This window comes from Homo sapiens, chromosome 1 (assembly GCF_000001405.40).
Source record: "Homo sapiens chromosome 1, GRCh38.p14 Primary Assembly".
NCBI classification, from domain to species: domain Eukaryota; kingdom Metazoa; phylum Chordata; class Mammalia; order Primates; family Hominidae; genus Homo; species Homo sapiens.
In genome coordinates this window covers 236,240,648-236,254,965 of record NC_000001.11, presented here as the reverse complement: position 1 = coordinate 236,254,965, position 14,318 = coordinate 236,240,648, and the positions used below count along the sequence as shown (strand labels likewise).

The window sequence follows — 14,318 nt, the reverse complement described above, 5'->3', positions numbered from 1 at the left end:
GGGTAACAGAGCAAGACTCTGTCTCAAAAAAGAAAAAAAAAAAGATAAAGACCGGCCAGGCACGGTGGTTCATGCCTCTAATCCCAGCACTTTGGGAGGCCAAGGCAGGCGGGTCACCTGAGGTCAGGAGTTCGAAACCAGCCTGGCCAACATGGTGAAACCCTGTCTCTACTAAAAATACAAAAATTAGCCAGGCGTGGTGGTGGACACCTGTAATCCCAGCTACTTGGGGGGCTGAGGCAGGAGAATCACTTGAACCCAGGAGGCAGAGGTTGCAGTGAGCCAAAACTGCACCATTGCACTCCAGCCTGGGTGACAGAGTGAGACTCTGTCTCAAAAAATAAAAAAAAAATAAAGATCTTGAGACATAGGGAGCATGGTATGTTCCCAGCAAGGCCAGTGTGGCCAGAGGAGCATAATAGAAGAGGTCAGAGAGATAGGCCAGAGGCCAGGTTATGGAGGGCCTTGTGGAGCTTGCTGCAGAGTTTATAAACTCTAAGGGTGATGGGAAGCCACAGGAAGGTTTTGAGGAGGGATTGATATGATCTGATCTGTTTTAAATAGATAACTGTAGTTGCTGTATGGACATAGAAGTAGAAGCAGGGAGACTATTGCAATAGTGTAGGCAAGAGGTAGGTGGTGACAAATGGAAAAATGAATTGTTTGATGGGGAACAAGAAAAGGGAGGAAGGAGAATAAAACCTAGATTTTGGCATGGGCAATCTGCAAGTCCTATTGAATTACTGTCTTCCTGTAATGTGTAGAATAGGAAAATCCAGCTTTTTTACCATGGTTAAAATGTCCTGCATGACTGTCCCTTGTTTACCTCCATCCTCGTTCTCTGCCACCCTCCCCCTTCTACATTAAACGTCAGCCCAACTGGTGTTTTTTAGTTCACACAACTGCCCAGGCTTTTTATTGCCTTATCCAAATGCACACTTCCTCCATCCTAAAATATTACTGCCTCAGAGGCCTCCATCCGCTAGCCTCACTATTACAGTTCTCTGGATTTTCTTTGTAGCACTGACTACAACTCGTACTAAACTTACAAATATTTAATTTGTTTCCTTCAATAGATTTTTAAGTTCCAGAGGGATAGGGGAGTTCTTTTTCTGTCCATTTTCCCCCCATAGCCTACCCAGTGCCTGACACATAGTGGATGCTCAGTTCTTATTTGTTGAATAAATGGGTGCATGAGAGAATTCTCATTAATAAGATAACATTAGGAGGCTGGAAGACATTCAAGTAGTTCTAAATGCTTTCTCTGTCACCCAGTCTGGAGTGCAATGGCATGATCTAGCTCATTGCTGTCATTTTAAATTCTGAACCTTATAGGTGCCACGAGGATAGGAAGTATTCCTTCTTATTCACCACCATGTCACTGGTGCCCAACACAATGACACTTTGAGAGCACCCCATAACTATAATATGAGTTTACTAACTTTGTTCTTTCTTTCAAGGTTAATCTGAAGCGACCTTGTCCTTTCTGGGCAGAAGATGGCCACTGTTCAATAAAAGACTGTCATGTGGAGCCCTGTCCAGAGGTATAATAAATAAAATAACAGGGCAAAGCCAATTTTCTCTTGGACTTTTAGAAAAGCATAACCTCTATTTTATTTCAGGCTAATGTCAATGGATTTGGATGTGTCAGCAAATTCATATGCTCTCAGCTCTCTCCTTTAGAACCAGATTATTGAAGATTCTATACTTGACACCAAAATGGGTTTGAAGACACTTGTATCCAGTGATACTGGTGATCAAATATGGAAATATAGTCTTATTCTAAAATGGAAGGAAAATCAGAGGCCTGTTCTAGGATTGGATCTGCAGTTGTCTTTTATTTCATGCTTTATTGAATCAGCATCTTGTTTCATAGGAAAAAAAAAACAAAATAAAAACAAGCTACTGGACCCTATATTTCAAATTTATAGTGATTTAATTGGGGAAATTTCAGGCTTAGAATTAGATTTTCACTTGGCCTTGTTACATTTACATTTAAAAAAAAACCTATACTTAATACCAAGAGAATGCTACATTTTAGACTTTGATTTTTGTTATCTAACATAATTAATTATATTCCTCTTCTTCAACAGTAATTAGTTGTAAGCTTTGTTTTCCTTTCACTTTCTGCTTTTCTTACCTAATCAGTTAGTCTAGTTTGTTGTCCTTAAAAATCTGTACCAATGTCCTTCCTAAAGGGAACATTCTTTAAAAATTTATAATATTCAGTTTCCTTTAAGAATAAAATATGTATTAAGTATTTCGTTTAAAGTTCTGTTTGATAAACTGGTTGTAATAATTCAGATACATTTATTAAAGCCTAACACTAATTATTGGCCTTGTGAAAAAGAATGTTCCAGCTACATGCACTTCTCCCATTGGTAAACCCTAGATTAGATTGGTAAACTCTAGGTTAATCGTGTGGGCCAAAAAAAGCTTTCTAGTAATCCAAAATTGCCTACACTTTGTTAGAGCAGAAGTTAAAATTGCACATAATACATTGCAAATAATTTTGAACTTTCAAAACTTTCTTTTCTATGGTAACAAAGTTTGTGGAAGGAAGTGATTGTCAGTGTTTTCAACCTAAATTATATAAACTATAAAAAATACTGCAATAGTTATTAGAGCTGCTTTTGGCTTTCTTACTTTGTGTATGTCATTCAGTTTTCTATACTTTGATTTATAAGTCTGTATATTGGGATAACACTTTTACTTTATGAGATAGTGTGAAAACACAATTTGAGTGAGTGTATATTTGCCCCTCATAGAGTAAAATGCTTGATGAAATAGAGCAATGCATTGACAATTCGTGAAGAAATTCCAAAAAAAATAAAGATCACTTAAAAATTTTTTTGCTTTTCTTGTTTTTTTAAGAGTAAAATTCCGGTTGGAATAAAAGCTGGGCATTCTAATAAGGTAAGTCCCTCCTCTTCCTTGAGTGTTTCTGCTTTACATTGTGAAACTTACCATTTACTGACTGACAGTGGCTGTAGTAAAGAACCATATTATGGTTAGTTGGGAATGGAGACATTTTGCCTCAGAATTCCAAATCCCTAACTCTTGCGTCAAGCAGATAGATTGTACATTTCTAGATTCTTTTGAAATTGCTTCAGTACTGTTTTTGGAATCTCTGGAACAACTATTAAATGTAACTATAGTGTCAGATCCCCTAGTCAGCAGGTGTTTTATCACATAGCTATTTTTAGTCTTCTGTTTCAACTAGTTAGCCTGGCAGGTTCAGAATTATATTGTATAGAGTAAATAATTATCAAGATATTTTGAGCAGAGTACTTTCAGATGGTATTAAGATATTCATTTTTAATTATTGTTCTTGTCCTTTTATGAGAGTATTATATTTTGCCATTGATATGTTTTTAGAGAACCGTTTATTTCCTGTTTTTCACTACTGCGCATCCATAATAAAGATCATCATACCCTCTCTCTCTGTCTCCTTCTTGTGCCTCCTTTGCGTTTTCTTCTTGCTCTCTCTCCCGTGTAATCTTTTGTTTTTACTTTATTGTATTTATTTTTGCTTCAGATCTGAAATAAATAAAACCATATAAAAGCAGTTGAAACCCCCTCAGCCATTTCCCAGTTCGTTCTAATTCCTTCCTCCCAGAGCTAACCATTTTTCTGAAGTATCCTGTGATTTTATATTCTTATTGCAGGTGTATCTACAAGTAATATATTTTACACTTTTATTGCATGTGTATCCACAAGTAATATGTAATTTATTGTGTGTAAATTTTTTTTAATTTAAATAATATTAATAATATTTTTCTATTTCTTTAGGTTACAAACTTTTTTTCAGTTTGTGCTTTTACTCAGTCTTACACTTTTGAAATTTTCTCTGTTGGTATATGTGGATTTTGCTCATCATCTTAATAGCTGTAGTCAGTTGTATGACTATAACACATATTAGCCATTCCTCTATTGATGGACATTTCAGTTGTTCCCAATTTTTGGCTATTTCAAACAGTAATGCACTAGCATTTTTGTCCTTTGTCTCATTGTGCACACATGTAAGAGTTTCTCTAGGTCTACCTGTAAAGGCAGGATTGCTGAACCATAAGGCATGCCTATCTCAACATTAGAAATAATACCAAATAATTTTCCAAGGCAGTTGTACCTTTTTAAAAAAATGGTTGCCCTGGGATGTGGTCTCACTAGTGGGACTGCAGGTTCAAAGGTTTAAGCATTTTGCAAACGTGTGTGTGTATGTGTGTGTGTGTATATATATGTACGTATGTATATATATATGTGTGTGTATATATAACTTTTATATAAAAACCCTCTTTAGAACTAAATTTGACCATATATATATATATGTTTGCACACACACGTTTGATATATATATATATATATATATATATATATATATATATATATATATGGTCAAATTTACTTCCCAAGAGGGTTGTTTTTTCAGTTGATATCACCAACACATCAGTGCTAATTGTTAACTTTTACTTTTGAATTTTTATTTATTTTTTTGAGACAGAGTCTTGCTCTGTCATGCAGGCTGGAGTGCAGTGGCGTGATCTCAGCTCACTTCAACCTCTACCTCCCAGGTTCAAGCAATTCTCCTGCCTCAGCCTCTCCCGAGTAGCTGGGATTACAGGCGTGTGCCACCACACTTGGATAATTTTTGTATTTTTAGTAGAGACGGGGTTTCACCATGTTGACCAGGCTGGTCTTGAACTCCTGACCTCAAGTGATCCGCCCGCCTTGGCCTCCCAAAGTGCTGATTACAGACGTGAGCCACTGCACCCAGCCTAATTGTTAAATTTTAATATGTTGTTGATGGAAATAATATTTAGTTGGTGGAAATTTCTGCCTCATTTTCATTTGTATTTCTTACATATGATAGGGATTTTTATAATGGAATGTATGTATATTTAGTGTATATCATTGTTGACAGATTGATTATTCTGCCAATAGAAACTGAAATAAAGAATAAGGTAATAATTTTTACTAAACTTACGAACTTCTTTGCAGTACTTGAAAATGGCAAACAATACCAAAGAATTAGAAGATTGTGAGCAAGCTAATAAACTGGGAGCAATTAACAGCACATTAAGGCAAGTTTTATTTTGGTAATATTAAGAAAATATTCTCATTGATATCAAGAATCAATTTTTTATGATTTTGGTAAAACATTTTCGAACCCATTAAAGTTTTAACTAATATATTTTTAAAAGGAAGAAAAAGTTTTTCTTTATCCTAAATTTCATAATAGCTTTGCCTCTTCTTGGCTGATTTATCCTTAAATTTCTAGAATGTATCATCCATAGTAAATCTTTTAAAAAGTAGAAATTTACAAGATTGTTCAGCTAACAGGGTTTATGGATCAATTTTTCCTGATTACTATGGAAGAAGGGGCTTGAACTCCTAAATCTTTTTAAATAGTGATTGAGTCTGGATGTTACATTTTGAATGATAAAAGTTATTAGCCTGTTAAATTTCGTAGATTTTTTTTCTGTTAACTTTTCCTTATTTGTTCTACACAGAAACCAGCATAAACAATATATAAATGGCCTCAAATTGTGTAGTATAAAATGACTAGACATAATCAGTAGTTGGGAATGAGATATTTCAGAAATTCCTTTACATTCCCATTTGATTAGGTTTGTATTTATGAGCCGGGCATGGTGGCTCATGCCTGTAATCCCAGCACTTTGGGAGGCTGAAGTGGGCAGATCACCTGAGGCCAGGAGTTTAGGACTAGCCTGGCCAACATGGTGAAACCCCATCTCTACTAAAAATACAAAAATTAGCCGGGTGTGGTGGCGGGTGCCTATAATCCCAGCTACCTGAGAGGCTGAGGCAGGAGAATTGCTTGAACCTGGGAGGCGGAGGTTGCAGTGAGCTGAGATCACACCGTTGCACTCTAACCTGGGTGACAAGAGTGAGACTCTGTCTCAAAAAAAAAAAAAAAAAGATTTGTATTTATGTACCATAATTGCTAATGACTCAGTATAAGTTAGCAATTTTATTTATTGAAGACAAAATTTAATATAGGAAAATAAAAGATAATAAACACCCACATACATATCCTCCATTTCAAATAAATAATCCTCCATTCCAAGTAAATAAATATTAACATTTTTTGCCATATGTTTTAAGGAACAAGAAACATCACAGATAAATTTAAAATCCCTTATGCTGTATTCCCTAATCCAGTAGAGGTAACTACTATCAAGAATTAGTTGGTGTATATCCAGTCTGTTTTTGTTTTTATATATTTATATGTATAAATAAGATAGTTTTATTTTGTGTATATGGTTTTATTTTTCCTTTGTATAAATGATATCCTATATTTAACATTCTGCTACATTTTTCATTGTACATTTTGCTTTCTAGATCTGTCCATGTTGAAACACAGATTTATTCTTTTAACTGATGAATGATTTTCATCATATAAATATCCCATATTTTACTTAGCTATTCACTTATTGATGGATGTTTAGCTATTTCCAATTATTTACTTTTACAAACATGCCACCTTGAGCATTCCCAAATTTTTTTTCACATTAGAAGTAGAATTGTTGAATCTTAGGATTGTCTTTTTAATACCCATTCTTGATATTGCCTGATGACATTCCATAGTACTTGGTGTGAATATATACTGACTCCAGTGCTGACAGCTTGTATCATTCTCTACATCCTTACCAAAAGTTGATAATGTTTGTTGAGTGTGAAATAGTACCTTGTTTTTATTTTATACTTCGTAATTACTAGTGGATTTGAGCATTTTTTATTTATTGGACATTTGAGTTTCTTATTCATTCAACAAATGAATGTCTACAATGTGCCAAGCACTGTTCTAGGGTACTAGGAATCCAGTAGCGTAATGGATAAAATTTCCGCCCTCGTGCAACTTGATCCTTGTCAGAGGAAATAACACAATAAACAAGTAAAATATATGAGAAATAAGTAAGTAAAATGATGATGAATGCTAGGGAAGACAGGCAGGGAAGAACAAAGAGGGCTAGGAGTGAGAGAGTGGCACTGTTTTAAATTGGGTGGTCAGAGAAGATAATACAACATTTGAACAAATTGCCGAAGAAGGTGAAGGCATGAGTCTTACTATGGTTGGCTGGGGGATGAGCATTCCAGGTATATATAAATGTTAGTTGAAAACCCCCATGGCAGGATCATGCCTAGACTTAAACACAATAAGACCAATGTAACTGCAGCACAGTCATCAAGGGCAAAGTAGCAGAAGACAAGGTCAAAAGATGCTAGGGATGGGGCAGGAGGTGGGGTGGGTAGAGATCTTGTAGAGCCTTGAAAGCAATTATAATGAGTGTTTGCTCTTAGACTGGGTGGAATAAAACTCACAGGGAGGTTTTGAACAGAGGAGTTAAGGGCATGTGTTGAGGGAGCCTGATATGTTGCAGAAGCCTTATTACGTGATTATCGTAGTAATCCAAATAAGACATTATGGTGATTTAAACCAGGGTGATAGCAGTGGAAATGATGAGAAGCGGTCAGGTTCTGGATGTATTTTGAAGATAAAGCTAACAGGATTTGCTGCAGTATTGGATATGTGGTATTGAGAAGATATGAGCTTTTGGATGACTACAAGATTTGGAATTATAAAAATGGAGTTGCCATTTACTGACCTGTGGACAGCTGGAGGAGGAGCAAGTCTGAGACAAAGTTATAGTCAAATTTGGATTTGTTAAGTTTGAGCTGCCTGTGAGACATCCACTTGGAGATTTCAGGTAGGCAGTTGGATATACAAATCTGAAATAGGGGAGAGGTCTGGATGTCAGTCAATGAATAGATGGTGTTTAGCAGCCATAAACCTAAATGAGATCACCAAGGAGAGAGTGTAAATAGAGGAATGATCTAGGGACTAGGCTTAAGTCATTGGAAGATTTTGGGGTAAATTGCCAGTTTATATTCTTTGTCATTTTTTTCTCCATTGGGTTGGATTTTAAAATTATTACTGATTTGTAAGCATTCTTTATATAATGTGATAATTCTTTGTTGGCTGTGTTGTTAGGATTTGTCCTTTAATTTTGCATATAGTTTTTTGTTGTTGAACAGAAATTATTCTTTAAACTTAAAAAATTTAAGTATAATACACATATGGTGGAATAGAAAATTCTTAAGTGTAAAGGTCAATGTAACTTTACAAAGTGAACCCAACTCTATAGCCACCATCCAGAGCATTATACTTGCTGTCCAGATTACCATGTGTACTTTCCTAGTCATTATCACCTTCCAAAGTTAACCGTGATTTTGAGATACTGACAGAGATTAGTTTTAACTGTTTATAAATAGAATGATATAGAACATATTCTGTTGTATCTGGCTTCTTTTTGTTAACATGTGTCTGAGATTCATTCATGTTTTTGGGCATAGTAATGTTTAATTCTTTTTTATTGGCACATAGTATTCTATAGTAAGAATGTGCCATGTTTCCATTCTGCTCTTGATAGCTTATGCTTTGGGGCCATTTCAGAAATATTTTGGTGGATACAGTTGGACATGGTGGCTCATGCCTGTAATCCCAGTACTTTGGGAGGCCAAGGGAGGAGGATTGGTTGAAGCCAGGAGTTCAAAATCAGCCTGGCCAACAAGTGAGATCCTGTCTCTACAAAAAATTAAAAAAAAAAATAGCCAGGTGCAGTGGCATGAGCCTATAGTCCCAGTTACTTGAGTGGCTGAGGCAGGAGGATCACTTTGAGTTCATGAGTTTGAGACTGCAATGAGCTATGATTGTGCCACTGTACTCCCCAGCCTGAGTGACAAAGTGAGACACTATCTGTGAAAAAATAAAAAAAAAATTTGGTACATACATATGTATATTTTTATGGAGAATATACCTAGAAATGAGATTAGGTACTGCCAAATTGTTTTCTAAAATTGCTACCAAATTATATTGCTACTAGTAGTGTATCAGTTATCTGTTCTACAACTTCTCCAGTGATTGGTACTATGATTTTTAAACAGCTTTACTTTGAGGTATAATGAAATATGATACACTGCATATAAAGTATACAGTTTGATGTTTTGACATGTGTCCACCCATATAACATCATCACAATTAAGATACCATAGGTTGGGTGTTGTGTCTCATGCCTGTAATCCTAGCACTTTGGGAGGCCGAGGCAGGGGGATCATGTGAGGCCAGGAGTTCAAGACCAACCTGGCCAACATGGTGAAAATACTACTTAAATACTACTAAAAATAAAAAAATTAGCCAGGCGTGGTGGCAGACGCCTGTAATCCCAGCTACTCAGGAGGGTGAGGCAGGAGAATCACTTGAACCCAGGAGGTGGAGGTTGCGGTGAGCCAAGATCGTGCCACTACACTCCAGCCTGGGTGACAGAGTAAAACTGTGTCTCAAAAAAAAAAAAAAAAAAAAAAATATATATATATATATATATATATATACACACACATACATACACACATATATATACACACACATACATACACACATATATATATACGTGTATATATATACGTATATATATACGTGTGTATATATATACGTATATATATACGTGTGTATATATATACGTATATATATACGTGTGTATATATATACGTATATATATACGTGTGTATATATATACGTATATATATACGTGTGTATATATATACGTATATATATACGTGTGTGTATATATATATATATATATATATATTTTGACTGGGCATGGTGACTCACACCTGTACTCCCAGCACTTTGGGAGGCCAAGACAAGCAGATCACTTGAGCCCAGGAGTTTGAGACCAGCCTGGGCAACATAGCAAGACCCTGTCTGTACAAAAAAATAAATAAATAAATTAGCTGGATGTGTTGGCGTATGTCTATAGTTCGAGCTACTTGGGAGGCTGAGGATAGAAGGATCACTTGATCCCAGAAGGTCAAGGCTACAGTGAACTATGATGTCAGTGCACTCCAGCCTGGGTGCAGTGAGACCCTGTCTCAAAAAATATATGTATATATTTATCACTCCCAGAAAGTTTCTCATTCCCTATTCCATCTTTTATGCTCCTCATTTCCCAGTTTGAAGACTACTACTTTAACCTTGGGACACTATCTTGAAAGGAAGTGCTGAGTTAAGTCCAAGAAATTCTCATGCAAATAGTGTTGCATCCATCTTCAAACTGACATTTGGAAAAGCTGAAGTAGATAACCTCTAAGGTCCCTTCTAACTCATTTATAAATCAAACTGAGCCAGCTTTATTAGCATTAGATGCACATTCAATGTTTTTTCGGGCTTAGGCATGGCTTTACTGTGGTTTTAGGCAGGGGTTAGGTGAAAGAATCAGCAAAGCCTCTTCAAATGAGGATGCTCAAAGAAGAAATTTCCTGAAAGTCATATTGTTAACAAGAAAATAGGAATTTGTATCACTATTGATTTGTTCTTCACTACTTTCAACATAAGATCTATCTTATTAAACACAAGTTTAGTTAACGTCATTTTAGCTGTAATTAGGCATTATTGTTTATGGCATCACGTATTTCAGTTGGGTCAACTGTGATACAATATTTTTGTTAATTTTTATTATATACTCCCATAGGGAAAAAAATTCCACAGTAAGTTGAACTGGAAAAATGTATTGATAAAGTTGATGTAGTACAGCCAAGCTTATACACTTCTTTGTAGTGGCTTCTCAAATACAAAACAAATTCTTGATTATGACAGTACCACATTTAGGAATTACCTGATTTTTACCTTTATATACCTGATTTATACAGTTTTTTGTACCTTGTTTTTTCCTTTTGTGTTATGAATAAAGAGGGTAGCAAAATGATGCCTCTCTGATAGATACTACCATCATGAGTATTCAATACAGAGAAGGCCTGAATATAGGTTCAAGTTAATGTAGATCAAAGTTGATTTCAAGGAATGTAGTTGTTACTTATCAGTTCTTCAAGTTAGAAATCTTGATCATAGATTTTGTTAAATGTTAACTAGGCTGTGAAACGAGTGATACACCATGATAAAAGTGGCATTGTTGTAACCAGTGAATACCACATTGGATGGGAGATTATAGAAATACAGTTATTGGTATTTTAGATCTTGTAAGTATAGACACAATTTAAATTAAAAGAATTCTGAAAATAAATTTAATTACTTCGGAAAAAATACGTTTAACGTTATAATTTCTAAGTTAATTGAAAAGTTTAGCTTGAGTTTTGTGTTTAACTACATGTTATATGTATTTACAAATTAATTTCTCCTTGAAATAATTATTATTGACTAGTCCTAATAATTCAGTATAGTTAAGAAATATAAATTACTCAAGGAAATTAATACATATATTTTCCTATAACTTGTTTTTTGTCATCCCTTCATGTAATCACTAATAGCAGAATTGTGACATCATCTAATCTTTAACTGACCTCAGATTATCTATTTTAATTACACTAGAATACAGTATTAAAAGTTTCAGCTCCAAATTTAATAATTTTTCTTTTTTATTCCTCCTTCCCATAGTAATCAAAGCAAAGAAGCTTTCATTGACTGGGCAAGATATGATGATTCACGGGATCACTTTTGTGAACTTGATGGTAATACAATAAACTATTATAATTAAATTATTTTAACTTTAACCCTTTTATAAGACATTTTAATCAATGAAAATATAAACTGAATTATAGCTTCAGTACTGGATTTTGCTATGTAGACCTTATTATTCATAATGGCATTTATTGAGAGCCTGTGTTCCAGGCCCTATGTTAAGTGCCTTAAATACATTATTTCTGGTCTTTGCAGCTACCTTCATAAGTGTGTATTATTTCATATCTGAGAAAACTGAGTCTGAAAAAGACTAAATAACTTGCCCAAGATCACACAATAGCAAGAGGCTGAGGCAGGATTTGATCCCATATCCGAATCCAAAACCTGTATTCTTTCCATTATGATATACCATCTGCCATGGACCTTCAATTGAAGCCACTTAGTTATAGGTCTGTGAACATTTTGTAAAAATATTTACACTGGAATTTGCTAGAGGTCTTAACAAACTCATGTAAAGATGCTTTCTAATGCTGGGGAGGACTCTAATTCGACTTCTCCACAGCCCTTTTTCCAAGAGTCCCCTGGAATGGTAGAAAGACTGGACACTCTCCACCAGAGTAACTACCACTTCTCTTAACAGAAGGTAATTGCAGTGACTCAAAATTTTTTATCTGTGGGATAATATTCCCAAAGAATTGTGCTGAGTAGGCATAAATCATTCATTTAGTTTCTCTTCACCTTTTTCCTTGGTATTGTTATATTTTTCACAGTGGAAAAGAATTTGGGGATTAAGTGTGCATAGTTGGAAATAGTAGTTCTTTGGAACTCTTCAAGTATCTAGAATGCTCTGCTTTCTAAAGTTTTAAAAAAGATTCACGGGTAGAATTGTGCTATAAATCCAGCCCATAGTGGAGTAAGTTAGAGTGAGCTTCTACGATAGTATGGTAAACTGAGAATAATACTGGGAGATGGAATGTTATCTTGGCTTATATGGTTTCAGTAAGGAAATTTTAAAGGAATCTGAGTGAGGTTATACTAAGGGGTAATTAATGAAGTATCTGTCCTCTCTATGATATAGAGAATTGGTAAAACTTTTATCAAAGCAAGCCATTGAACCTCTCCTTTCACATTTGCTCTTTGGTTGCCATTTATATTTGAGTGCTTAACACTCATAGTCATTTATTTCTAAATTGTCCATTTACCTATTCTTTGATTAAAGTATAAATAATAGTGCTTATTTAATAGGTTTTCAAATTAATAATTTGTGTGACTATATATTACTCTTATGGTAAATAGGTATTTAATAAAAATACTTAATTGCAGGAAGTACTTGCTATAAATAAATTGATATGTAGATTACCTGCCATCAGTATAAACAGTGTTAACGATTTTTTTTTTTTTTTTGAGACAGAGTCTCGCTGTGTCGCCCAGGCTGGAGTGCAGTGGCACAATCTCGGCTCACTGCAAGCTCCGCCCCCCAGGTTCACGCCATTCTCCTGCCTCAGCCTCCCGAGTAGCTGGGACTACAGGTGCCCACCACCACGCCCAGCTAATTTTTTGTATATTTAGTAGAGACGGGGTTTCACCATGTTAGCCAGGATGGTCTTGATCTCCTGACCTCGTGATCCACCTGCCTCAGCCTCCCAAAGTGCTGGGATTACAGGCTTGAGCCACTGCACCTGGCCGTGTTAACTATTTTTTAAAATATTAGTTTCTTAAATTGTAGAAAGTAAGAAATATTTTTTAAGAATTTACATGAAATCATCCCCTTAAGATTTTCAAGATTATATTTAAAATCAATTATTTTTATATTCTTATAAAACCATGGTACCTACTAATTGGTTTACCATGACTCTTCTGAGTTGTAATGTTCATATATATTCCAATGGTTTATATGCAGTTTGTTTTTGATTTGTTTTGTTTTGTTTTGAGATGGAGTCTCACTCTGTTGCCCAGGCTGGAGTGCAATGGCACAATCTTGGCTCACTGCAACCTGTCTCCTAGGTTCAAGCAATTCTGCCTCAGCCTCCCTAGTGGCTGGGATTACAGGCATGCACCACCATGCACAGCTAATTTTTTTTTTTATTTTTAGTAGAGACAGGGTTTCGCCATGTTGGCCAGGTTGGTCTCAAACTCCTGACCTCAGGTGATCCGTCTGCCTTGGCCTCCCACAGTGCTGGGATTACAGCCATCAGCCACCGTGCCTGGCCTATAGTAGTTTTTAAAATTACTGTCAGGGTAGCTTTAGAATCATTGTTTAGTTATTGCTGTTTCCCAAATTCAGTGGATTAAAACAAAAATATAAAGAATATTCACCCAGTTTACTAGGGAATATGTCCATTTCCTGCTGTTTTGCTGTTGATAATGACTTCATTTGAATGGAAGATGATCCCTATAGATCAAATAGTAGTTTTTAAAATAATTTAGTAATTTAATATCCTTTAAGGTAAACTGCTTTCCCTACCACTCTTTTTTGTTGTTGTTGTTACTGTCTTTATCATGGCTTGCTTCTTGTTCATGTTTCTCCTCAAATGTCACTTTATCAGAAAAGCCTGCTCTCATCTCGCTGTGTAAGATAGTAGCCACTATCACTCCCTGTCCCTTTGCTTTGATGGCCCCCACCCTGCCCAAGCACTAACAACTGTCTGACAGTATATGGCATATTATTGAGTGTATCGGTTTCTTGTCAGTCTTCCCCAGCTAGATTGTGAGCTATTTGAGGGCAAGGGCTTTGTTTTTGGTTCACTAATGTATCCCTAGTGCCTAGAATGGTGCCTGGACGTGGTAGATGCTTAGTAAATACTTGCTGAATGAACTAGTTGGT

The 14,318-nt window shown here is 35.5% G+C and overlaps 1 protein-coding gene and 1 long non-coding RNA gene across 2 annotated transcripts in view; one reads left to right on the top strand and one right to left on the bottom strand.

Annotated features, from left to right (window-relative positions):
* ERO1B (endoplasmic reticulum oxidoreductase 1 beta) overlaps positions 1-14,318 on the top strand; it is a 66,858-nt gene that overhangs the window by 26,993 nt on the left and 25,547 nt on the right. The window contains exons 3-6 of the mRNA NM_019891.4: positions 1,461-1,544; positions 2,875-2,916; positions 4,999-5,081; positions 11,471-11,544. Of these exons, the coding sequence (NP_063944.3) occupies positions 1,461-1,544; positions 2,875-2,916; positions 4,999-5,081; positions 11,471-11,544 (283 nt within the window). The remainder of the gene's footprint in view (positions 1-1,460; positions 1,545-2,874; positions 2,917-4,998; positions 5,082-11,470; positions 11,545-14,318) is intronic.
* LOC124904562 (uncharacterized) lies at positions 3,299-9,130 on the bottom strand. Its single transcript, XR_007066962.1, has 2 exons — positions 7,629-9,130; positions 3,299-3,540 (listed from the first exon to the last, which is right to left on the bottom strand). It is a non-coding gene; the product is annotated as an uncharacterized LOC124904562 (long non-coding RNA).